A 27900-nucleotide genomic window follows, 5' to 3' on the forward strand; every position below is an offset into this window, starting at 1 on the left:
CTGAGCTCGAGCAATCCGCATGCCTTGGCCTCCAAAAGTGTTGGAATTACAGGCCAAGATTTTTTAAAAATCTCAGTGGCTGAAGGATAAATGGTGCAAGCAAGTCTGATCCCAACAGGCCTTGCCTAACTCCCTACCTACTTCCCCCTCATCCCTCCCACTCCCATAGCTGGACATGTGGCCCCTACTCACAGTGCAGGTCCTGCTAGTTCACCGAGTCAAGGGTAGCCTTTCCTGTCCTTTTGGTCTGTGCCATCCAGCTGCAACTAACCTCCCATACAATGTCGTGCCATGTCAACGATTTACCAGTTAGTGAAATGTTTCAGTGAAAAGCTTATCAAATCAATTCAACCAACCTTGATGAAACTGACGTGCCTGGGAGAGGGCCAGATGAATAAAATGAAGTGTAGAGATACATAATTTTTTTTAAGTCTGCAACAAGACACCTCCTTCGCTTCCTAAGGTGGGAAGAAGGTTGGTGTGAAGGATGGGCATTGCAAGCGGGACTTTGCGACGAACAATTATGCACCGAAAGTCAGAATTCCCTCTCTAGAAAGTGGCTGACCTTGAGTGTCCATCACTGGTCGTTCCCCCTCTTCACAGGAATGGCTCAAGCTTTACCTGGATAGTTGAAGTTTAAGCCTTAGGGCTCAGGATTTGGAATTCTTAGCCCATTGCTTCCTTAGCTCTATTCCCTACGATATACTCACACTAAGGCTGAGGCCAACCAGTGGAATAAACAACCAGCCTTCTGCTGCAAACCTGAGCAAGACTGAAAAACAGGAGATGGTTGATGCATTTCAAATTGCCCAGACTAGGCCAGGCGCAGTGGCTCATGCCTGTAATCCCAGCACTGGGAGGCTGAGGCGGGCAGATCACTTGAGGTCAGGAGTTTGAGACCAGCCCAGCCAACATGGTGAAACCCTGTCTCTACTAAAAATACAAAAAATTAGCTGGGCCTGGTGGCACATGCCTGTAATCCCAGCTACTTGGGAGGCTGAGGCAGGAGAATTGCTTGAACCCAGGAGGCAGAGGTTGCAGTGAACTGAGATCGTGCCATTGCACTCCAGCCTGGGCAACAGAGCAAGATTCTATCTTGAAAAAAAAACTGCCTAATCTTTCTTTTAAACAAAAAATATTTATTTATTTATTTTGAGACCTAATTATGAAAGTGGCTGATTTTTGTATTTTTGGTAGAGATGGGGTTTTGCCATGTTGCCCAGGCTGGTCTCCAACTCCTGGGCTCAAGCAATCCTCCAGCATTGGCCTCCCAAAGTGCTAGGATTACAGGCATGAGCCACCACGCTGGGCCAGACTAATTTTTCTTTATGTGTAAAGAAACCATCTTTATTTGTAGATTAAGTCCTGCTGGTTTTGAATTCTAAGTGCTACATATTTGTACACTCTGCACCACACTGATGTCACTTCTGCCTCTAACTAGTCTTTAAGCTCATCCTCTTGCTCCACTCCAGTCAACATGGAAGCCAGCATGATCCTTCTAAAACACAAGCTAGTCTCTCCCTAAGCCTCCTTATCCCCTGTGAGAAGGTGTCAAAGTTCTTTACTATGATTTGCAAGGTCCTCTGTGAACAGGACCCTGCTCACTCTGCCTCACCTCTCCCCATCCTCACTTCATCCTTTATCCTCTGGCCTTGTGATGCTAGGAATAATGACCCCCAAAGGTAACCAAGTCTTAATTCCTGGAACCTATGAAGCATTACCCTACATTGCAAAAGGCACCTTGCAGGTATAATTAAGGATCTTGAGATAGGGAAATTATCCTGGGTTATTTCAGTGGGCCCTAAATATAATCACAAGTATCTTTATCAGAGGGAGATTAGACTACAGAAGAAAAGAAGGTCATCTGACCAGGGAGACAGAGACTGGAGTGATGAGGCCACAGCCTAAGGAATTTGGTCAGCTACCAGAACCTAAAAGACACAAGGAATGAATTCTATTCCCTGGAGCCTCCAGAAGGAACCAGCCCTGTCAATACCTTACATTTATTTTTTATTTATTTATTTATTTTGAGATGGAGTCTCACTCTGTCACCTGCACTGGAGTGTAGTGGCACGATCTCAGCTCACTGCAAACTCTGCCTCCCAGGTTCAAGCGATTCTCCTGCCTCAGCCTCCCGAGTAGCTGGGATTACAGGTGCCTGCCACCACGCCCAGCTAATTTTTTGTATTTTTAGCAGAGATGGGGTTTTGCCATGTTGGCCAGGCTGGTCTCGAACTCCTGACCTCAACTGATCCACCAACCTCGGCCTCCCAAAGTGTTGGGATTACAGGTGTGAGCCACTGGGCCCCGCCACCAATACCTTAAATTTAGCTGTGTAAGATTCACTTCAGATTTCTGGCCTCCAGAACTGTATGAAAATGTATTTCTGTAGTTTTAAACCACTATGTTTGTGGAAACTGTTTTCAGGAGCAATAGAAAACTAAGATAAGCCTTGTCAGATGACAATGGTTCCAGAATACATCCTGCTGGTCTTTCGTCTGAGGCTGTTGGGTTGTTCTCCCCTTTCTTGGTGATGCCCCTGTACACCCTTTGCCTAACATATTTCTACCCCTTTGTTTTAATCAATTTAGGCTTCTCCCACAAATTACCACAGACGGACTGGTTTCAGCAACAAAAATTTCTTTCTCATGGTTCTGGAGGCTGGGAAGCCTGAGAACAGGCGCCAGCATTGTTGGGTTCTGGTGAGGGCCCTCTTCCTGGTTCAAAGATGGCCAGTTTCTCATTGTGTACTCACATGGTGGAGAGTGGAGAAAAGAAGCAAATTCTCTCCTGTCTCTTCTTATATGGACACTAATGCTATTCATGAGGGCTCTACCCTCACGGCCCAATTACCTACCAAAGGCTCCATCTCCAAATACCACCACATTGGGGATTAGGGTTTCAACATATGAATTTGGGAGGAACAAATGTTCAGTCCACAGCACCCCTTCCTTAAGGTTCACTTCAGTATCACCACCTGCTTTCCTAGTTGCCCCAGGCTGGGTGAGGACCTCCACTCAGGTTTAGCATCAGACCTGAGCTTTTCCTTACCACTGAATTCACCACAAGGTACTGTCATGGTGTGTGTTTGACTCTCCAAACAGGCCCCCAGGGTGAGCCCCAGGGTGGGGGCAGAAATCAAGAACTGTTCTTCCTAGAGTCCTCTCTGTGTAATGTCTAGCACAAGGACGAGCACATAAGAGTCTTCGATAAATATTTATTGTCTGGGTGTAGTGGCTTACACCTGTAATCCCAGCAATTTGGGAGGCTGAGGTGGGAGGATCGCTTGAGCCCAGGAGGTTGAGGCTACAGTAAGCTCTGATCGTGCCACTGCGCTCTGGCCTGGGTGACAAAGACCCTAAAAAAATAATAAATAAATAAATAAATAAATAAATATTGATTGATTGAATGAATGAATGAATGGTTAAAGCTTCTTAACCTCCTGGACGCAGGTGGCTCTCATGTCCATTGCAGTTCCTCTGTCTCTTCTTATAGCTTATCATCTGATCCTTGTACCTGCGACTGAGCCCTAAGAAATCTCCAAGTCAAACATTAGCCAGGATCAGATTTGATAGCTGGGCTGTCCACTCAGGATACTGCAAAATAAATACTACACGGAACAAGCAGAATACTAAACAAAGGACAAAATATTTGAATTTTTTTTTTTTGGTGAAAATTAGAGCTTTGAATGCAGAATGTGGTAATGCCTGATTCTTTTTTAACATGCCATTCCTTGATCTTCTCAAGCTAGCCCCTGTAGTACTGGCAGCTCAACGACCTCCCTGGTGATTCATTATGCTCTACAACTAAACTCTAATTATTCTCAAAATATTATATGGTTTAGTTGCCAATAATGCTGATTATTGAAATTCTTAGAGCTAGCCATGTGCAATTAACCAACTGATACACTTGAAATGGGATTATAGGCCTCCATTCACTACCTAATAAAGTATTAAACCAAAGCTATAAATGTAAGATTATTTTACAGATTGTTTCTCTACGGGAATTTTTACCTGATGACAGCAAAATGATTTTCCTCTTTGTCAGACAAGACAGGCTATCGTCTTCTCCAAGGTCTATAGATTCAGGGAGAAATGAGAGTGACTTTACTGATGAAAGATTTAAAACCAGAAACAGAAAAGAAAAATGCACCAGAGCAAAGCAATAAGGAATTATAAACTAACTTTAATTACATCAACAGGAAGAATTTCAAACTATGTTGTAATTCTTATTTTAAAGTTTAAATCTAATTAATATATTCTGACTAACATAATCATCCAAAGATAAAAGTATTTGTGATGGCAAATGGACAGAACAATCATTTAGGTAGCATCTAGGAATATTGCTACAATTACTTTACATAAATAGAAATCCACGTCTTTATTAGTAATGTGCCACACATCTTAGAGTAAAAATTTACATAAGATAGGCTTATAAATATACATAAATCTCAAAATTAATCACAAACATTAGGTACACAATTGTTATAAAACAAATATAACCTATCAATGTCTATGTAAAGGCATAGTTTTTACAAAATAGTATTTTGTAGACAGTCTCAAAAAAGTATATTAATACTCCTGGAGCCAGATTGTTCCAGCATATCAGCATGTCTGTGGAAATAAGGCATCCGGAGAAGCTGCATTCACTCTTCCCCATGGCCAGGGCCTTCTATGTGATGAAACAGGTAGGATTCTAGTGACCTGGGTGAATGCTACACCCACTGCAGCACCCCATTACCTTAGAGAATCAATTACTCTCCAGAAGAATCCAACCAAATGGCTATCAGCCTAATAGCAAATATCCAGGGGAAAACTGAACACATTAATCAAGCAGCAGTGTGTTTTATGTTAAAAATCCCAAATAGCTTGATGAATCCATTACATTTTGAGTTGCCAGACATACTTAAAATCACACTAGCCTAGCCACTATTTTCATGAAGAGGAACTTATATGCAAGTCTTTTATTAAATATAAAAACAAAGAAATCTACCTTGAAACTAAATAACTGGATACTTGAATAACTGAATAAGGAACCTAATTAAATACAAAACCTGTATAGGTTGCATCAACATGCCAGTTACTCAGCTAACACTAGTCTTGGTTTCTTAACTAACAGTATAGAAAAGTCACATTCAACAGTGGTACTTTATATGTTCTTAACAATTCATATAATGTTGAATGGAGGAGGAAAGGCTTAGTAAAACATCCAGGAATCCTTTCTACAAACTACATTGCTATAAACTCAAGCATAGTTTTGCCTGTAATATGCATAATGTTCTACCTCTTGGGTTTTAAAGTAGGCAAGAGATCAGAAACAGAAACAACCTTGACAAAGACCTTCAAATGCTCATGGTGTGTATATTCAGGCCTTTGTGTATAAACACACACCATCATGTATGTACAAATATACACATGCTCCTCAAGTTACAAGAGGGTTATGTCTCAGTAAACCCATCAATTGTAAGTTGAAAATATCATAAGTCAAAACAATTATGGGACATAACCCCATTGTAAGTTGTAGGAATGTATCAAATGTATATCACTTTCATATCATCGTAAGTTTGAAAACTCTTAAGTTGAACCATCCAAATTCGGGGATCGTCTGTGTATATAAACACATGGAGAACCACCTAACTGTTCACTAAACATAACCAATTCCGTTTAGAGAACAAGGACATACAATTATACACGGCAGCAAAGTATACACATCCCAGCCTTTGGCCTAGTGCAGTGGTTCTCAAACATTTTTCCATTATGGTACATAAGGTAGATGCCACATCACATGTGTAAAACACTCCCATGGTGCAGCAGATTTTGATACAACTTTTATTTTATTTTATTTTATTTTATTTATTTATTTTTTAGACGGAGTCTTGCTCTGTTACCCAGGCTGGAGTGCAGAGGGGCAATCTCGGCTCATTGAAAGCTCCACCTCCCGGGTTCACGCCATTCTCTTGCCTCAGCCTCCTGAGTAGCTGGGACTACAGGCTCCCGCCACCACGCCCAGCTAATTTTTTTTGTATTTTTAGTAGAGATGGGGTTTCACCGTGTCAGCCAGGATGGTCTCGATCTCCTGATCTCGTGATCCGCCCACCTCGGCCTCCCGAAGTGCTGGGATTACAGGCTTGAGCCACCGCGCCCGGCCGATACAACTTTTTAAAACATCTCTAGGTTAATGAATTACTCTGAAACACTGAAATCCTTACCATGAAGAGCAGTTCAGCGCAATGGTTGTCCATGATCACCACAGTTACTTAAGACAAAACTGCTGCTTAGCCGGCTCTGTACTTTACTGCCACCACTTTTGCATCAATTCCAGAAAATATATTAGAATGCAAGAGCATGAGATGCCCTGTGCCATTTATTTATAAAAATAAATCAACAATAATTTATTTTAAAAGCAAATTATTCACTAACTTTGATATTCTTACAACTAACCAGTAATAATATGTTACTGGCAGTATCCTTTACAACTAATCATGATATATTGGTGTGTCCCTATCTAAGAACAAGGGTGGGAAAGCCACAGTCCATAAGCAAACCCCGCCTGCTTCCTGTTTTTGTGCAGCCTGCAAGCTAAGAATGGTCTTTGGATTTTTTTAATGGCTTTCTGAAAAAAATCAAAAGGAAAACATTTGTGACATTTGAAAAGTACATGAAATTCAAAGTTCAGTGTCAATTAAGTTTTATTGGAACATAGCCATGCTCATTCATTTATGTATTGTTTATAGCAGAGCCAAACAGAGACTGAAAAGCCAAAAAACTACTATCTGACCCTTAACAGAGAAAGTTTGCTGACCCCTGGAGTAGAGATAAGAATGACACACAACCTCAGTGGTCACGTCTCTTATGCACAAAATCCTGAATATAGACAGTAAACTTAATTCCAGAAATAGTAGTAAATACCATCTAGGATGGAAATCCATTCCTGAGTTGTCCAAACTTTCTGATTTCTTTAATGACAAAAGCCAACTTAATTAAATACAGCTTCTGCATTCTATCTGAAATCATGTTTATATATTCACCTTTTGACTCAGCGGAGCAATAAAAAAAGCACTGGGCTCCAAGTTAGAAGACCTAGGTTTTAGGCAATTTCTTTTAAATTGTTACATTGTTAAAAATGTATTTAAGTCTTGTTTGATCTGTGTATTAAACCTATTAAAAGAACTAAAATGACTGGTAAAATAAAGAATCAAAATGCTTTTAAGCAGAAAAGAAAGTTGATATAGAGTAAAACATGCTCCTTTCCTCTAAATATAACTATAAAAAGTCCTCCAATTAATTGTAAATTACTAAATGGGGGAAAAAAGGCACCTAGCTAATTGGAGTATGGATAGTGGGTTCCATTTAATAAAAGTTTTAATGGATGTGCACGAAGGTGCATGAATGTGTAGGAAATCATATCACCTCCTTAGGCTTCAGCTGCACCTCTGTAAAATAAGAGCATTGGATTAAATGGTCTCTAAAGTCCTGGCCAGCACTGGTAATTTATGTCAAGTGACCAGCCTCAGTTTTTTCATCTGTAAAATTGGATAAATAATAGAATCTACTTCCTATGGTTGCGGTGAGGATTAAATGAGTTAATTCATGTAAAGTGCTTAGAACAGCACTAAATATATTTCACTAGCATTATTATTAATCTATTCAGGTACTTTACGAAAAACACTGGTTGGGCATCTCCTCTGTGACAAGTAGTATATTAGAAAATGGGAATACAGACATAAAATAGAAGTTGATTCTCTTATATTTAAGTAGGGATGAATGAAACTGAAGTTTTTGGAATTATCACTTCAGCATGTCTATCGACTGCTAGTTCTCTGAGATAATGGTCAAAGGCCATTCTGTATCACTGGTGTGAATTCTTATTTCTGAAAAATGATTACTGTTAGTACTGTTACTAAGGATGTTTCTATTTATGTTTCAAAAGACAAAGTTCAGTGTTTGCTAACATAATTATTTATGGTTTGAGCATAGGAGGAAGAATATAAAAATGTTGGCCAGTCTCCCAATATACATGAAATGCAAGCCTTCTGAACCAAACAAACTTGCCATAGAAGTATAGTTTCACATATAGATTCATTCCACAAATGTTTGCTGAGTACCTGATATGGATAAATATCTGCTACAATGATGAGTAATGGTCTCTGCATTAGGGAGATAACAAGGAGGACAAGCCAGCAATTCTAGAAAAGTATAACGAGCATGTTGATGAGGAAGCCCAATGTGCTATGGGAGCATTTGATGGGGGCCTGGACCTATGTAGTCCAGAGATTTGGAGGAAAAAATATTTAAGTTGTGACCTGATAGGTGAATAGGAGTTCATCAAGCACAAGAGGTGGAGAATATGAACAAAATGAGAGGTGAGATAGAGCAGGTCTGAAGAACTGAGAGCCTCTCAGTCTTGCTAAGACATAGCAAGTGAGGAGGAGTGGCAAAAGATGATATTGCAGGTCACAGAAATGGCTTGCATTTTACCTTAATGGCACTGAGAAGTCATTGAAAGTTCTAAGCATAAATAAGCAAAATCGGTAATCAAATGAGAAATCACTAGTGAAATAATTAGCTTGATTAGAAATGTAAGCGGAAGGAAGCTGCATTCACTTCTTCCTTCCCTGCCTGCTACTAAGCTGAAGTCTCTCTTTTGTTTTAACCTGTTTGTAGCTCAAATATTATACACATAAGAGAGAGAAATATAAAAATATTTGCTTCTTATTTACAACATGGCTGCCTGCATATCAGTATCTTCACTACTAAACAGCCACTAGAGCTGAGAAGATGAGACACAGGCCAGACTTAGCCATGCCCAGAGTGGAGTCAAGGACTTGAACCAGGGGACTTGAGTTTGAATCCTACCCAGTTCCATTATGCACTTGATGTCATTTAATTTCTCCCCATCTGCAATGAACAGAATTTCTCCTCCATCCCTCCTTGGAAGCTTTTGGTAACTGTGTTTGTTGATGTTTTCCTTATTTTGGTTCAACTCCAGGAGAATGTGAAAGCTCTCCCCACAGGCAGACTTTCACCTGTGACATGAATCTGGAGGGTGGTATTAGAAATCACAATCACCAGTGTTGCTCAATCATAAAGCCCACGAAGTTGGAACCAGCTTTAAAGCAACAAGGGCAAGCCAGAGAACTCTAGAATGCCAGAGTGGAAATGTCTCAGCAGCACTAACTATACCTGCAGACTTCTCTCCTCAAAATGGGCAGTTAGCACAGACATTTGGAACAAAGAACAAAGGAGTCCTTTGGGGCGCCTAATGTCAAGGCATTACTATGAATTATGCTGACTACCTGTCTAGTTTATAAGTCTGAACATTTTATTTTACTTATTTTTTTGAGACAGGGTCTCCCTCTGTCACCCAGGCTGGAGTGCAAGTGGCACAATTTTGGCTCACTGCAAGCTCTGCCTCCAAGGTTCAAGTGATTCTCGTGCCTCAGCCTCCCAAGTGGCTGGGATTACAGGCATGTGCCACCACACCCGGCTAATTTTTGTATTTTTAGTGGAGACAAGGTTTTGCCATGTTGGCCAGACTGGTCTCGAACTCCTGACCTCAGGTGATCCGCCTGCCTTGGCCTCCCAAAGTGCTGGGATTACAGGTGTGAGCCACCGCGCTCAGCCACAAGTCTGAACATTTAAATGGATATTCTAGGTGAATTCACTTTATGGGTCATTTTCCCATTTTCAATTATTTTTTAAAAAGCCACCTCATAAAAAAAATTCTACTCAAAATCTCTACAGTCTCAAAAACTGTTGGCTTATTATTAAAATGCCCTAAATTTTTACTAAGATGTTTTGTCTGATATAACACATTTTTAGGCCAGGCACGGTGGCTCACACCTGTAATCCTAGCACTCTGGGAGGCCAAAGCAGGTGGATCACCTGAGGTCAGGAGTTCGAGACCAGCCTGACTAAAATGGTGAAACTCCATCTCTACTAAAAATACAAAAAAATTAGCCAGGCATAGTGGCACATGCCTGTAATCCCATCTACTCAGGAGGCTGAGGCAGGAGAATCACTTGAACCTGGGAGGCGGAGGTTGCAGTGAAGCTGAGATCACACCATTGTACTCCAGCCTGGGCGACAAGAGGGAAAATTCATCGCAAAAAAAAAAAAAAATACATTTTTAATCACACTTAAGGTATGCTGGCTCTGACAAGAGAATTCACTGTAACCACAGATGAATACCTTAGTTTTATAAAATTCAGTGGTAGAAAAGTTCAAATTCTAACTGCTAAGAATTCCCTTTTTTTTTTTTTTTAATATCATTAACACAACTTTACATCTTCAGGAATGCTCACAGTTTGGTCTCCAACCTTTGCAAATAGCAGTAAAAATGTTTTCCCATAGCTGCTCTCTAACTGAGAAGAAATTTCAAATAAATATTATTTATTTAGTTAGTTATTTTTGAGACAGAGTCTGGCTCTGTCACCTAGGCTGGAGTGCACTGGCACAATCTCGGCTCACTGCAACCTCCGCCTCCTGGGTTCCAGCAATTCTCCTGCCTCAGCCTCCCGAATAGCTGGGATTATAGGTGTGCACCACCACGCCTGGCTCATTTTTGTACTTTTTAATAGAGACGGGGGTTTCACCACATTGGCCAGGCTGGTCTCGAACTCCTGACCTCAGGTGACCTGCCCGTCTTGGCCTCCTAAAGTGCTGGGATCACAGGCGTGAGCCACCATGCTCGGCCAAAATTTCAAATAAATATGAACTATTTTCATATCATTGTATTTTCCTCCAATCTCCCCATTGGCTGTGTAAATATCCAAAAGCACTTCTGCTTTACGGAAATTTGAAATTTCTTCTGCCCAAAAGGCTGACTGTGAACTTATGACATTCAGTAAAGTTCTCCCTAGTAATATTCAAAATAACTCTCTGTGCTATAGCACTCATAGTAAAGACTGTTTTGAGACATGATTTCTATACTTAGTTCCTTCTCTGCCTTTCTATTTGTCATTTCTAGCCAAAGTTATATGGTATGTGGATCATAAAAAGGCAGTCTTTTTGGGTCTCAAATCCCATTCAGGAAGATGGCAATCACAATTTTCATCAATCCAACTCAGAGATGTTGTGAAGTTAAATAAGAAAACATATGTGAAAGTGCTTAGAAAAGGTGTAAGTATGTTCCAAAAGTATAGGGTCATTATTAAACAATCTTCTTTGACTACAAAAGAAGCTTGTTCTTTCTTCCAAAAAGCTGAAATTATATGAGGTTTTTTTTCTTAAATAATTGAAGCTAAAATTATACTGGATATTCTTTAAAAAATATATTTATACTAAAGACTTCCCAATCCATGTAATCTGTTGGCCCTGCAGCTGTGGTTAGGGGGTTCCCATCAATAGGTAGAAGGTCAGAGCAACAATCAGAAGCAAACAAAATGGAGATGAGAAGGTTTGATAGGCAGCTGATGGCATAAAAATGTCTTCATACTTGTAAATACTGACAACACGCTCTGAAGCCGGCGGTGAGTCTATATCATGTCGAGTGATAGAGCCTTTAAGAAAAAAAGAGAAGAGCAGGGGCAATTGAAAAAAGAACAGATTTATAATGGTATAGGCAAACAATGGAAAAATCAAAAGTCTATTTAGTGTTGAATACGTAAGCAGTGGTTACAAAGATCTGGATTCAGGTATTTGAGTTATCAGAATTCTCTATCATTGTACATATAATAAAGAACATAGAAATTAGTTAAATTTATCCAAAAAGACTAGTTCTTATTAATCTGCACTCCCCCATCAGAACAATGCTGTTGATCTGTTTCCTGCCATCTCAATTTTAAAACTACTAGTTACATAATTTTGTGTGATTATTGTATGATTGCCTCCTAAAACGGCTCTATGAGTTTTGTCTTATTAATACCCAAATGGGCAAACTATATTTTTATTTCAAACAGCAGAGACTACTAACTTTTTCCCTCAAATCTATCTTGTATATATATGGATCATCAACAACTCCTGACAACACTACTAACGTCTCCCTTACAGATGGAAGCCCTCCTCTACTGTCTGTGGGACACTTAGTAGCCTGCCCAGGCCATGCCAGAGGGAGTGTGGTATACTGGATGTGTGTCTGTGTGTGTCTGTGTGTCTGGCAGATTAGGGTAGAATGGTATAGAAAGTGGGATGATTAAAGTACCAAACTAGTCTTTGGATGGGAAACTTTCTTTTAATTTTGTTACAAGTGGAAAGAAGTACAGACTGTGTGTAAAATATATTTAATAATCTTCAGTTGATTAAAAGTGTCTGACCTCCTGAATAATCCATTTGAAACTTGGGTTAGGGAGACTAAGGCATATACATTCAGTGCAAAGGTCTCCTTAGGAATAGGGCTCAGAGTGAGGGTTTTTAAGGTCCTATCTGCTAGGGAAGCCCTGCCAAACTTGACATGTCAGGTCCCTGCTTAGTGTCCGTGCTGGCCCCAGTTAGCAAAAATCAAACTTCTCAGGTTTGTATGCCTGTAGTTTCAGACACTTGGGAGGCTGAGGTGGGAGGATCACTTAAACCTGGGAGGTGGAGGCTGCAGTGAGCTGTGATTGTTTCACTGCACTCCAGACTGGGTAACAGAGCAGACTTTTCTCTCAATAGATCCCAGTCACCTCTCCTACCTAACCTCAGCTCACTGGTCACCTGCAAGGGCTGCTCAACTTAACTATGCGCCTACAGTTCATGCCTTCTTTGAGTGAAATCCAACCTCATACCCCTTTCAAGCCTTAGTTCAAAGTTTTCCCCCTTACAGGGACCTTAGGAGAATAGGTAGGATATAATCAATTAAAAGGGCATTCAGGAGGCCGGGTGTGGTGGCTCATGCCTGTAATCCCAGCACTTTGGGAGGCTGAGGTGGGCGGATCACAAGATCAGGAGTTTGAGACCAGCCTGGCAAACATGGTGACACAGCGTCTCTACTAAAAATACAAAAGTTATCTGGGTGTGGTGGTGGGCATCTGTAATCCCAGCTACTCGGGAGGCTGAGGCAGGAGAACTGCTTGAACCTGGGAGGCTGAGGTTGCAGTGAGCCAAGATCGCGCCATTGCACTCCAGCCTGGGCGACAGAGTGAGACTCCGTTTAAAAAAAAATAAAAATAAAAACATAAAAAAAATAGAAGGGCATTCAGGAAACAAGAAAAGCAGAAGCCAGTATATGGGGTAGGAATGTGCCTGTTTTGCTTAGAGTTAGTGAGAAGAACAGAAGTTTTGAGAGAGCTTATCAGGTAAAGCAGGACCAGATTTGGAGAAGGCTTTGAACTTTAGGCTAGTCTGCCATATATGTAAAAAGATGACCTTCTGAAAATACAGCTTTTTCCAATTGGTAAAGCAATTTCAAATACTTGTTTTCACTTAATCCTTACAATATTTCCATGGAATAGGAAGTATTATTATCCCCACTTTAGATATAAGGAAATGAAATTCAGAAATTAAATAATAGGCTAAATATTATACAGCTACCAAGGGGCAGAACCAATACTCAAACTCAAATTTTTAGACTTCAAATCCCACTATTTTAGATTACTCCATTTCTCCAGGCTGAGATATAATTTATTTCCCAGGGTACCGAAAGTAATTGAAGTTATAACTGCAGAGCCACTGTTGGTAATCTGGGAAATTAGCAAATGGAAAAGGTGTCACCAATCTGGAGACAGTCAAGTGTCTTCCCAATTGGCAACAGGCAAAATAAAAGGTAGATTATGTCATCTCTGGGCTGATTGGTGGAAACGAATTGAAGGAAAAAAACAACCAGATCAGATTAGGCAGCAAATAGTTGATGAGCACACAGTAAAGAAAGATGCAATTACCAGGAGCCAGAATGAATTCTCAGTGCAAGGACTGCAAACCACACTCACTTCCATTCTTGAGCAGGCCCTTAGGCTAATCAACCAGAAGGAATGCTCAAGACTCAGTGTAACTTGATTTTAGCAGTCTCTAAAAGGTCTCATGATATCCTTGGGTCTTTGCTGGGCAAATGCTGCAGAGACTTGCCACCCAAAATGAGGTCATCAATGAACCAGCATGACCAGGGAGCTTATTAGAAATGCAGAATCTTGCCAGGCATGGTAGCTCACACCTGTAATCCCAGCACTTAGGGAGGCCAAAGCTGGTGGATCGGTTGAGCCCAGGAGTTCAAGACCAGCCTGGGCAATATGGTGAAACCCTGTCTCTACTAAAAATACAAAAAAGTTAGCCAGGCATAGTGGCGCATGACTGTAGTCCCAGCTACTTGGGAGCCTGAGGTGGGAGGGTCACTTAAACCTGGGAGGTGGAGGCTGCAGTGAGCTCTGATTGTTTCATTGCACTCCAGCCTGGGTGACAGAGCAAGACCCTGGGAGAGGAGGGAAGGGGAGGGGAGACCAGTAGAGGGGAGGAGAGAGGGGAAGACCTACAGAAAACTGCACTTTAACAATATAGCCAGGTAATTCCTATACACATAAATATTTAAGGAGTAATGGGTTAAACTATGGGATAATTTGGTAGATTTGTGACTAACAGAATAGTCACAAAGTGGGCCCTAATGAAATGCTTGGTGTCAATCTCTGGAGAAGTCTCCAGAAGCCCTTCCTGTTCAGTACTTTTTATTATTTCTTTCTTCTTCTTTTTTTTTTTTGAATGGAGACAGGGTCTCACTATAGTGCCCAGGCTGGTCTTGAACTCCTGGGCTCAAACCATCCTCCCAAAGTGCTGGGATTACAGGCATGAGCCACCACGTCTGGCCCCCGTTCAGTCTTTTTATATTTACAGCATAGGAGTTAAGAGTATTCATGGGCTTTGGGGTCAGACAGACTTAGGATTGAATTTTAATTCTTCTACTAATTAGTTGTATAGCCTTGACCAAGTTTCTTAATCTCTCTAAAATCAGGACAATAATACCTATACCTCTCAAGGACATGGTGAGGAGTAAATAAGAATGCTGTGAGAATTGAACAGAGCCCTACATACAGCAGATACATGATCTGTTTCATTAAGCACATCACTCATGACATACTATCTTGTACTGCTGTAGCTTTGCATGTGTGTAACTGTTCATTTGTTTGTCCGTATAATAAGTCCATTATAATAAGTCCATTATAACCTTCTGAAGGTAGGAGTCGCATCTCCTTTTCCTTTAAATGATCCAGAGTGCTTATCGCTCTCTTGTGCACACAGTGTGACTTCAATTAACAATGAACACAAGCACAGTGGTGTCTGGCGTTTAATCCAGATGCTGAAATGTAAGCTTACCCTGAATGGCTGGACCCCAAGCAAACAGATAATACCAACTCAAATGCAGATCAACAATTGTTTCATCTCTGGGAACATTCACAGGGCGTTTAAATCTGCAGGTGACGCGATTGTTCTCAAAAACTCCTTCTTCATCTCTGGCAGGGTTTCTCTGAATCTCCTTTGCCCACTGGCCTACATTATAGAAGTGCTGTATGCGGACCCTGCCATTGTCATCATGGACGCAGGCCATGACATCATCACCACCCTAACATGAGAAATGATTGAGAAAAAAAAAAGTCAAAGGTTCATCTTTTGCACACTGGTCACTAGAAATATACATTCCATCATCTCTGCAATTTGAAATCCCACCAAAAAAATTCTTTTAAGTGCCATTAAAAAGTCTCAACCAGGAGACCAAAGTTACCATCACAATAAGTGACATTCAGTGCCTCCTGACTGATGTTTGGAGAAGACATTACCACCTATGTGGTAATCCTGCCCAAAACACAAACCAACCTAATCAAGAAAAAACAATCAGACAAACTCAAACTGAAGGTCATTCTACAAAAAAAATTAAAAAAATACCTAGCCTATAATCTTCAAGGAGTCAGTGTCATAAAAGACCAAAAAAAGAAAAAAAAAAAAAAGGCTAAGAAACTATTTCAAAATATACATGACAACAAAATGCAGTTCTAGGTGTTCCTACATAGAAATTTGGGCTATAAACCCAAAATTTCCCTAAGGACAGTATTGGGACAAGTAGCAACATATGAAAACAAACAATATATTTAATAATACCATCATATCAATGTTAAACTTCCTGAATTTAATAAACTATATAATAAAAGAGAACATTCTTGATTTTAGGAGATAACCTACTTAAGTATTTAGGGTTAAAGGATTATGATATTTGCTATTTAAATGCCAAAATTCCAGAAAATAACAATCAAAAAAATAATAATCAGTAGTAGTAGCAGTAGCAGTAGCAGTAGCAGCAAGCAGTACAGAGAATAAAGCATGTGTGGCTAATGTCATTATTTATGAAAAAGTTCTGGAACTAGGGAGTAGTGATGGTTGCAGAACACTGAATGTGGTTGATACCACTGCATTGACACTTTAAAATCATAAATTTTGGTGCTACTGCACTCCAGCCCGGATGACAGAGTGAGACCCTTTCTCAAAAAAATAAAATAAAATGGTCAATTCTGGCCAGGTGTGGTGACTAGTGCCTGTCATCCCAACAATGTGGGAAGTCAAGACAGGAGGATCATTTGAGCCCAGAAGTTCAAGACCAGTCTAGGCAATACAGTGAGACACTATCTCTACAAAAAATTAAAAAATTAGCTGGGCATGGGGCTCATGCCTGTAGTCCTAGCTACTCAGGAGGCTGAGGTAGGAGGATCGCTGGGGAGGTTGAGGCTGCAGTGAGTCTTGTTTGTGCCACTGCACTGCAGCTTGGGCAATAGGGTGAGACCCTGTCTCAAAAAATAAAAATAAAAAAAAAAATACACAACAACAAAAAATAAAATGGTTAATTTTGTTATGTGCGTTTTACCACAATAAAAAAGTTATTATTTTGTTAATCTAAGTAGCTGTAGTCCCAGCTACTTGGGAGCCTGAGGTGGGAGGGTCACTTAAACCTTTACTATCCTTCCTGCTTGCCTACAGTTTACATTTTTTTCAAAACAAGTTTAAAAAAGTTAAAAGAGTTTGGTCGGGTGTGATGGCTCACGCCTATAATCCCAGCACTGTGGAAAGCTGAGGCAGACCACTTGAGGTCAGGAGTTCAAGACCAGCCTGGCCAACATGGTGAAACCTCGTCTCTACTTAAAATACAAAAATTAGCTAGGTGTGGTGGCAGGTGCCTGTAATCCCAGCTACTTGGGAGGCTGAGGCAGGAGAGTCGCTTGAACCTGAGAGGTGGAGGCTGCAGTGAGCCGAAATAGTGCCACTGAACTCCAAGCCTGGGCAATACAGTAAGACTCCATCACAAAAAAATAAAAAGTTACAAAAAAAAGTGTTAATCAGTTGTAATGCATGTACCATCCTGTGCAGGATGTTGATAATGGGGGAGGCTCCCCAGGGGGTATATGGGAAATCTGTACCTTCGGCTCCATTTCACTGTGAACCTAAAACTGCTGTAAAACGTAAAGTCTAATTAAAACACACACACACGCACACAATAATGCACCTTTTTTTTTTTTTTTTCCCCGACAGAGTCTCACTGTTGCTCAGGCTGGAGTGCAGTGGCGCGATCTCGGCTCACTGCAACCTCCGCCTCTCGGGTTCAAGCAATTCTCCTGCCTCAGCCTCCCGAGTGGCTGGGACTACAGGCACCCGCCACCATGCCCAGCTAATTTTTGTATTTTTAGTAGAGACAGGGCTTCACTATGTTGGCCAGGCTGGTCTCAAACTCCTGACCTCAGGGGATCCGCCTGCCTCGGCCTCCCAAAGTTCTGGGATTGTGAGCCACTGCGCCCGGCTAATAATGTACCATTTTTAAAAAGTTAAACGCTTTTAAAAAGGGGTTCCATTTTGTTTTTCCTATACATTAGGTTCTCAAAAAAAATTAATCTGTGCTTTTTCTTGGAATAATACAAGAAAAAAAGAGACCTCTACTTTCACAGATAATATGACAGTAGATACTTTATAGGCCTTTAGATACCAAAATATCAAACAAAATTTGAATGCTCCTCACTCTGCCTCACTCCCCTAATCTTAACAGCCCTACCACGAGTGCAAATGCATTTAGGACAGGAAGTGGTCACTTTCAATGCAAGCCAGCTTCTGGGTGTGGCATGCCCTGCTGTTTCTCCTGCTGCCTCTAGGGCAGGAGATAAGTAGACTAATATCTATCCATGCAGTCTTACCAGTGGTACCCATTGTCTTACTACTTGGACTGGAACTCATTGAAGGCTATTCTCCTGGTGACCTCTCCAAGAATAAAGCCACCAGACCAGCCACTGCTTAGACTGCTTATCAGTCTTTTCCTACGACACACCTACAACCCATATATCCAATCCACTTGCAAATCCTGTCAGTCAGTGCTACTTTTTTTCTTTTTTTGAGACAGTCTCGCTCTGTTGCTCAGGGTGGAGTGCAATGGCGCCATCTCAGCTCACTGCAACCTCTGCCTCCTAAGCAATTCTCATGCCTCTGCCTTCTGAGTAGCTGGGATTACAGGCACCTGCCACCATACCCGGCTAAGTTTTGTGTTTTTAGTAGAGACAGGGTTTCACCATGTTGGCCAGGCTGGTCTCGAACTCCCGACCTCAAGCAATCCACCTGCTTCAGCCTCCCAAAGTGCTGGGATTATAGGTGTGAGCCACCATGCCCAGCCAGTTAGTGCTATTTTCTTTTTCTTTTTCTTTTTTTTGAGACGGAGTTTCATTCTCGTTGCCCAGGCTGGAGTACAATGGCACGATCTCAGCTCGCTGCAACCTCCGCCTCCTGGGTTCAAGCGATTCTCCCGCCTCAGCCTCTCGAGTAGCTGGGATTACAGGCGCCCGCCACCACACCCAGCTAATTTTTTGTATTTTTAGTAGAGACGGGGTTTCACTATGTTGGCCAGGCTGTTCTCGAACTCCTGACCTCAGGCGATCCACCTGCCTTGGCCTCAGTTAGTGCTACTTTCAAAACATTCAAAATCTGAGCCCTCAGCACTGTCACTGCTGGAACTTTGGTCTGAGCCGCCCTCCTCTCTCCCCTGTAGCCCCACACAAGCCTCAGAATAGGCCAGGTGAAGAGAAGGGCGGGGTGCTCTAGGCAGAAACAGCCACAAGGGCAAAAGCACAGAGGACTGAGAAAGTCTCATAGTTTGGGAACAAGCCTGGCCCAGTGAAGTGGCAAAAGAATGGGGCTCCAGAGGAAAGAGAGAAAAACGCAGCAAGGCACAGGGAAGAGCAGGGGCCAGTGATGACAGCTGCCTGTGCACCTGAGGCCCCGCCTGTGCCTGGCCACAGTCCTGTCTGAGGTCCAGAGGTTTTCTTGCCCCTGGGTACAGAGGAAGATAAAACTGTTGAAACAAATTCGTAACTTCCCTGATGTAATCCAACATGCCTTTTATAATGAAGCCTCCACAAATATTCAAAAAGAGGCCAGGCACGGAAGTGCCTGTAATCCCGGCAATTTGGGAGGCTGGGGTGGGCAGATTGCTTGAGGCCAGGAGTTCGAGACCAGCCTGGCCAACGTGTGAAACCCCATCTCTACTAAAATTACAAAAATTAGCTGGGTGTTTTTTGTATTACAGGTGGGATTACACCTGTAATCTCAGCTATGTTGGGAGCCCGAGGCAGAAAAATCAAACTTGAACCCAGGAGGCAAAGGTTGCAGTGAGCCGACATCATGCCATTGCACTCCAGCCTGGGCAACAGAGCGAGACTCTGTCTAAAAAATAAAAAAAACCCAAAAGGACAGGGTTCGGATGAGCTTCTGGATTGCTGAACAGATGGAGGTGCCTGAAGGGTAGCACACCCAACAGGGTGTTGAAGCTCCTCACTCCCTTCCCCATGCCTTCCCCTAAGTGTCTCTTCCATCTAACTGTTCATCTGTATCCTTCAAAATAGCCTTCATAATAAATGAGTAAAGTAGGTGGGATACGGTGGCTCATGCCTGTAATCCCAGGACTCTGAGAGGTCGAGGTGGGTGGATCATCTGAGGTCAGGAGTTTGAGAACAGCCTGGCCAACACGGTGAAACCTCGTCTCTACTAAAAATACAAAAAATTAGCAGGGCGTGGTGGCAGGTGCCCGTAATCCCAGCTACTTGGGATGCTGAGGCAGGAGAATCGCTTGAACCTGGGAGGTGCAGGCTGCAATGAGCCAAGGTCACACCATTGCACTCCAGCCTGGGCAACAAGAGCGAAACTCTATCTCAACAAACAAACAAACAAACAAATAAATTAAATAAATAAATAAATAAATGAGTAAAGTGTTTCTCTGAGTTCTGTGAGCCACTCCAGGAGATTAACTGAACAGAAGAGGGTGGTGGCACCCCAGATTTATAGCTGGCTGGTCAGAAATACAGGTCACAACCTGGGGCTTGTGACGGGTGTCTGAAATGGGGGCAGTCTTGTGGTTTTGAACCCTTAACCTGTGGGATCTAATGCTATCTCCAGGTAGGTAGTGTCAGAAACAAAGTGAATTAGAGGACACCTAGCTGTCCACTGGAGAAATGCTTGGGGTGTGGGGGAACACCCCCACACATCTGGTCACAGAAGTATTCTTTCTGTAGTGAGAATATGAGTAGAGACGGAAAAAAGTTGTTTTTCCCTCTTATAAGTGGTTCTTTCACTTCTGCCTCTGCCATGAAAAAAATATGCCTTGGATGACTAGTGAAAACACAGAGAAAACCTGAATCCAACTCATGGACAGGCGTCAAGTCCAGATGAACCCCACCTAAAATGAGCTGCACCCCAGTCAATCCATGAACATGTGAGCAAGCAATAAATGCTCATTGTTATAAGCCATATAAGGCTTATAACATGGGGGCCTCTTCTTGCAGCCTTACTGTGGAAACAGCTGATGAAAAGAGGTGCCACAAGACAGCTTGGATTCTGATAGCCAACCCTTTCATTTAAGCTAGCCTGAATTTTTTTTAACTTGCAATCAGAGAGCCATAACTAATTTGATCATTATACTGCTTTGATCAATTAACTTGCTTCTAAAATCAAAATAGCACAGCCAACTAAAGAGAAAAAATCAGCTTCTATCATGTTTTGCATCTTACCATTTTCTTGTCTGAAGAGAATCCAACTGCTACCCAACCATCTGTGTCTGCACTCAGCTCAAATTCTACATCAGCCCCTATCATCCGGTAGCTGAGGAAATAGTCACAGGTCTCTGCATTACAGCCTGGTTTGCCATATCTAGAAGAGATATCGAAAGAGACTTTACTGCTTCTACTTACACAAAAGACATTAAGAGAGCATCTACCATGTATCATGTGGGATGCTAAGCAATATTATTAAACACATTGGATTTTTGCTACCTGGAATCTTAAAAACACAGTTTCACTCTCTTAGGAGGAACCTTAGAGATGATCTGCCCCACTTTGTACACAAGAACTGCAGTCCTGAGATGGGAAGGGGCTTGCCCGAGGTTGTATAGTGAAGTCAGCGGTTGCAACAGGACTTGAATCTGGGTATCTAAACTCCCAGCCAGTGTTCTCTACATTATATTAGTATTAGAGTCTTTTACATGTTAGTTACTACTGAATTATTTCTGAATCCCTTTTAATGGAAAAAGATTCTCCAAGTTAACCATTTAAATTGTTTCTGTTAATTAAATGTATACCAACTCTTTTTAACTTACAAATTTTCATATAATCAAACTAACACAAATTTACAAATTCAATATAAATTAAACTAATAAACCAGGAACATTGAAATTCACAGCACTCATGCAACAGATAATGGGGCTTTACTGAAAGTAAATTTCTGCTTATGTGCATGTGGTATCCGATTAGATCGTGCAGGGTCTTTGGAGTTGAGAGCATGTTCTTACTACTCTCTATAGCATGATGGCTCAACTCTTCACTTTTATCTGTTTGAACTGCTGCAAAATCCTTATTTATGCGATACACCAAATGAATACCCCCATCTGGTACTCATGAACCATGAATGAATGCAATATTTATTTACAATTTTTTTTTCTTTTTTTTTTTTTGAGACAGTCTCACTCTGTTGCCCAGGCTGGAGTGCAATGGCGGGATCTTGGCTCACTGCAACCTCCACCTCTTGGGTTCAAGCAGTTCTCCTGCCTCAGCCTCCCAAGTAGTTGGGACTACAGGCATGGGTCACCACACCTGGCTAATTTTTGTATTTTTAGTAGAGACGGGATTTCACCTTGTTGGCCAGGCTGATCTTGAACTCCTGACCTCAGGTGATCCACCCACCTCAGCCTCCCAAAGTGCTGGGATTACAGTCAAGCCACTGTGCTTGGCCTTATTTATAAAATTTGCCTTTGTTCTGTTGGGCTACTTGCTGCTAATATAATTACAAATTCAGACACTAAAACATACAACAATATAAGGTGATTATCCAGATAGTGAGATTATGCAGACATTCATGTTTTTTTGAGAGCACCACTGAAATGAAAACACAAATTTAAATTTTCTTACAGAGCACTTGTGGATCCTTTCAGAACTGGCAAGCCCTGGTTTGAGGAACACTGTATTACACCATTTGCAGAATGGTAGAAAGTTGAAGCAATGGGTGGGACAATATACGCGCAGATGGAAGGTATCTAAAGGAACAGGGCACAGGGGTGCTAAGTGTTGAGGAGGGGACAGAAATGTACTACTATGCTGGCAGAAATACCCGAGCAGTCAGGAAGAGATATAATAGGATCAAGGCAACAGGGCACTGGGGTGAAAAAGATGAAAAGGAGCAAGGGAAGTTAAAAAAAGGAGTAAATGGACAAGAAAACAAGTCACTTTGAAGCCAGTAGAGTACTAAAATTCCCTCCCTTCTCAAAATATCCCCCAATCACCAGGTTTATACATTGCTGACCATCTTCCTCAATAAGAACATTTTTGGCTATTTTTATTCATTCCTTAGAAGTGGCCTTGTAATCCAAAGAAAGCTCAAAGCCCCTGTATTCAATTTTTCCTTCTTAGACCTTAAGTACTGAACAACAGCAAAATCAGAACCTTCAGTACAGTGACCATCAAAACTTTGCCCCTGACCATCAAATTATTCAGGGGCAATTTGTTTTAGGAAGTAAAGGGTTCAAAGGAGGAGGCTTTCCCAAAGAAGCTGAGCTGTCTAGATGGGAGGCCCATTGTCCACATGACTGTTTTCTAGCCCAGCCCGTCATGTCGTGATACTACTAATAATCATGTAGAGACTCACCATGCCTGAGATAACAAGCTAGCAACAATGAATGCTTAATGACTAGTTAGAATCATACAGATATCCATAGGTCAGGACTATTTACTAAAAAAGGAATTGGGTACTAAACATGTCTATCATTGCCTGTCCTGCCCACAGCCCCTGCTGAATAAGCACAGACACGTTCTGTGTCACATGAGTCTTCTGCATATCAGCAATTGGTGAGTAGGAGACACCTGGAGCAATGGTGGTACAGCTAGAAAAGAACCATGGAAGAATGGTCCCGGGCCCAGGACATACTAAAGTTAAAAGGCCTTTAAGACTGAAAAGCGGGATGGCCGTTACGAAACTTCATAACCCTGCTGAGGTGATCAAGGAGCTCAGGCCCCCTGATTAGAAGGAACTGCATGCAATTTAAATACTACCCTGAGAAGTAAATCAGTCTTAGCCTTAAAGTTATCCAACCTGCAGTTCCACCAACCTAAAGCATCCCTTAGTTTTTCCACAGTCGTCCACTTTGATTTTGGCAAATGGATCCACAGGAGGAGCAGTAGGGAAGGGGTAACCTGGGCAGTGAGAATAAAGAAGGGTTAGAAAATCCAGTAACAACTGTTCCAATGAGAATTTTTAAAAATGTGTTGACTGTTTTTTCTCACACATATCGAGAAATGTTTGGGGACTCAGAAAATGGCTTTGATGAAGGCTAATCATCCCCTTCATGGGGGAGGGTGTAGGACACACACCTTTGGACCTAATCTTGCATGTGAACTGAGAGTAGGTGTGTCCTTTTCTCACTTTACAGGAGAGGAACCTGGGGCACTGAGAGAGGCACAATTTCATATAACCACGGGCTTACCGCTGTCCCCTGGGAGTTTGAGAATCACACGTTTAATACAATATACATGTTCTAAGAGAAAAAAGTTAACAGTGATACATTTATATACTTGATAGTGGGATTTTTCCATTTATATACTTGATAACAGGATTTTTCCATTCCATTTTCAACTTCCATTTTGCGTTAACCTGTAGGTAACATTTTCTTAGGTCACTAAATTCTTTGTTTTTGTTTTTTGTTGTTTTTGAGACAGAGTCTCCCTCTGTTGCCCAGGTTGGAGTGCAGTGGTGCCATCCTGGCTCACTGCAACCTGTCTCCTAGGTTCAAGGGATTCTCTTGTCTCAGCCTCCCGAGTAGCTGGGATTACAGGCGCCGGCCATCAAACCCGGCTAATTTTTGTATTTTTAGTAGAGACAGGGTTTCACCATATTGCCTAGGCTGGTCTCGAATTCCTGACCTCAAGTGATCCACAGTCCTCAGCCTCCCAAAGTGCTAGGGTTACAGGTATAAGCCACCGCACCCAACTTGTCGCTAAATTCTTTAAACACATAATTTCTAACAGTTGTCTATCTTTCTTATAAGATTACTTACCACCATAATGCATCAAACCATACACCATAATGCATCAAACCATACCATACCCAACTTGTCGCTAAATTCTTTAAACACATAATTTCTAACAGTTGTCTATCTTTCTTATAAGATTACTTACCACCATAATGCATCAAACCATACATTGAAGGGTAAGGCTGCATTATGCCTCCACTTTGTGAGAGAAATCTTTTCTCCTAGGCTGTTTACTCCACGTACACAGGAATCATGTGAGACTTATCTTGTATTCTCTGCCCAGCATAGTGCTTGGCACTGGACACTGAATAAATGATTGTCAAAGGAATAAATAAAATCACCCACAGACATTAGGAAATGTAAATCAGTACAAACTTTTAAAAATCATTCTATTTTATGAGTTTTTTTCTTGTTATTTTTAAGTTTTTTCTTTGGGATTTGTAATGCTACTTTTTTTAAAGTGAGGCTTTGCTAATTTTGTCCATTAGATTTATTATACTTTAAAAAAGCCACCAGGTCACACTTTTCTGGCACACTTCTGTGCACTCTGAATAGTCCATTTTTACTATCCTGGACCTTGATCACATCATAAAGTACAATCCTAACTTTTTACCACCAAAGTAGTTGGATCAAATGCATTACTTTTTCTAGTTTTATGCTTATTTTATGCTAAGTCCTATATCTGCTTCAGTACTAGAGACCAGGGATCCCCAATCCCTGGGCCACTAACCAGTACCAGTCCATGGCCTGTTAGGAACTAAGCCGCACAGCAGGAGGTGAGTGGCAGGCAAGCAAGCGAAGCTTCACCTGTATTTATAGCCACTCCCCATGGCTTGCATAACTGCCTGAGCTCCACCTCCTCTTAGATCAGCAGTGGCATTAGATTCTCATAGGAGTGCAGTCCCTATTGTGAACTGCATATGTGAAGGATGTAGGTTGTACGCTCCTTATGAGAATCTAATGCCTGATGATCTGCCACTGTCTCCCATCACCCCCAAATGAGACCTTCTAGTTGCAGGAAAACAAGCTCAGGGCTCCCACTGATTCTACATTATGGTGAGTTGTATAATTATTTCATTATATATTACAATGTCATAATAATAGAAATAAAGTGCACAATAAATGTAATGTACTTGAATCACCCAAAAACCTTCCCCTTGACCCAGTCCATGGAAAAATCGTCTTCCACTAAACCAGTCCTTGGTATCAAAAAGGCTGGGGTTCACTGCTATAGACTGAGTCCTGACTTGAACGAGTTTTGTTTTTTTCTGAATAGTTATTGAGCCACTACAAACTACTGTATGTTAAGCAGCTTCATATATCTTCTTCCTGTTACTTCTCACTACAGTCCTGAGGCCATTTGTCTCAGAATATTTATCCAGGAATTCAATGATTGTTCACTTACATGTTTTTGAAATTCTAGAGTTCACTGACAAAGACAATCTCTTTTAATGTTGCATCTGACTCAGGTTCCCCATCTTCTTCCATTTTCAAACATATCATCCTCACTACTTCCTGGCATCTAGAATAATACGTTAGCATACAGCAGATTTCCAGCTCAATAAATACCAGTTACTATTACTACTGGATTATTATCACTATTTTTTTTTTGAGACAGAGCCTTGCTCTGTTGCCCAGGCTGGAGTGAAGTGGCATAATCTCAGCTCACTGTAACCTCTGCCTCTTGGGTTCAAGCAATTCTCCTGCCTCAGCCTCCTGAGTAGCTGGGATTACAGGCACCCACGACCACGCCCGGCTAATTTTTGTATTTTTTGTAGAGACGGGGTTTCACCATGTTGGTCAGGCTGGTCTCGAACTGCTGACCTCGTGATCCGCCTGCCTCAGCCTCCCAAAGTGCTGGGATTACAGGCATGAGCCACTGCGCCTGGCCCTATTAAATTTTGTAAACTGGCCTGAGAAGTAATAACCATTGGGTACGATTGTCTCTTTAAGAACAACAAGTTTCAGCTGGGCATGGTGGCTCACACCTGTAATCCCAGCACTTTGGGAGGCCAAGGTGGGCAGATCATGAGGTCAGGAGATCGAGACCATCCTGGCTAACACAGTGAAACCCGTCTCTACTAAAAAATACAAAAAATTAGCTGGGCGTGGTGGTGGGCACCTGTAGTCCCAGCTACTCAGGAGGCTGAGGCAGGAGAATGGCATGAACCCGGGAGGTGGAGCGTGCAGTGAGCCAAGATCGCACCACTGCACTCCAGCCTGGGTGACAGAGAGAGACTCCATCTCAAAAAAAAAAAAAAAAAAAAAAAAAAAAAAAAAAAAAGAACAACAGGTTTCTAAACTCCAAATGAAAGCAAATTTTGGAACAAAGCTAGCTCATAAATGTTCTGAACTAGTTTATTCATGTTGGCAAATGGCTTCTCAGGACTTTTCTAGCACTAATTTTCTATTATCATATATGCTTCTAAAACTTGTAATAGGAACTTGTGTTCTGTCAAATGCACTTGGACATGCCTTTAATAACATTTTCCTCTTATATTGCAAACTGTTGAAAAATAAAGAATTTGGCCTTTGTCCCTGGTTTCTGGGAGACAAACTCTAAAACCTTGGAATTTCCCAAGTAATGGGAGTGTTTTTGTTCTTCATGAGCCCCTTGGATTACACCTGAGTTTATGCTGAGCAACGGGATGACTAAGAATAGAGGCTGGTCACTGGAAAAACCATGTAATTAGAAGGTTGGGGCTTTGTGCTAGACCTACCTATAGGGAGGGTTGTGGGGCTGGAGATTGAGTTTAACCATGTGGCCAAATGATTAAATCAATCATTCCAACATAGTGAGACCCCAATAAAAACTCTGGACACTGCGGCCCAGTGCAGCTTCCTGGTTGAACACATCGATGTGCTGGGAGGGCAATGTGATAATCCCACGAGGAGAAGGCATGGAAACTCTGCCTTTGGGAGCCTCTCAGACCTCACCCTATGTGTCTTTTCATTGACTGTTCCTGAGTTGTATCCTTTATAATAAAACTGTCATAGTAAAAATAGCACTTTTTTTTCCCTGAGTTCTGTGAAACATTCTAGCAAATAATAGAAGCTGAAGTGGGAAGCTTCTTCTATCTTGTGGGAAGACCCCACATTTATAGCCAGTTGGTCTGAGGTGTGGACAATCTTATTGTGAACTGTGCCCTTTCACTTGTGGGATCTGCACTAACTCTGGGTCATTAGTGTAGGAACTGAATTGCAGTACACCAGTCGGGAGTTGATACTGGAATATAAGCAGAGCAGAATTAGATTTTTTTCCTGAAATTAAATGATCTCTATTTGATATAAAATAAGTTTGGACCATGTGCCAATATTTAAGCTCTTGTCTCTCAGCTACAACCCAGCCTTCTATAGGCTGAGTACTCTGCAAACCATTTCTCCTTTGCCAGGTGCTTAGACTCTGCCAATAGCAAGCATTAGAGGAAGGCAGGAGGAGGGAAAGAGGACTGTTCCTTCCTGTGTGATTGC

The 27900-nt window shown here is 41.6% G+C and overlaps 1 protein-coding gene across 1 annotated transcript in view; it reads right to left on the bottom strand.

Annotated features, from left to right (window-relative positions):
- Nucleotides 4166–27900, bottom strand: part of FRRS1L (ferric chelate reductase 1 like) — a 36957-nt gene continuing 13222 nt past the window's right edge. Inside the window, exons 2-5 of the mRNA NM_014334.4 lie at nt 23509–23593; nt 20924–21062; nt 15216–15462; nt 4166–11500 (exon numbers count right to left, since the gene is read on the bottom strand). Coding sequence (NP_055149.3) covers nt 11328–11500; nt 15216–15462; nt 20924–21062; nt 23509–23593 — 644 coding nt within the window. The 3' untranslated portion in view covers nt 4166–11327. The remainder of the gene's footprint in view (nt 11501–15215; nt 15463–20923; nt 21063–23508; nt 23594–27900) is intronic.

The sequence above is a fragment of the Homo sapiens genome, chromosome 9, assembly GCF_000001405.40.
Source record: "Homo sapiens chromosome 9, GRCh38.p14 Primary Assembly".
Lineage (NCBI taxonomy): Eukaryota > Metazoa > Chordata > Mammalia > Primates > Hominidae > Homo > Homo sapiens.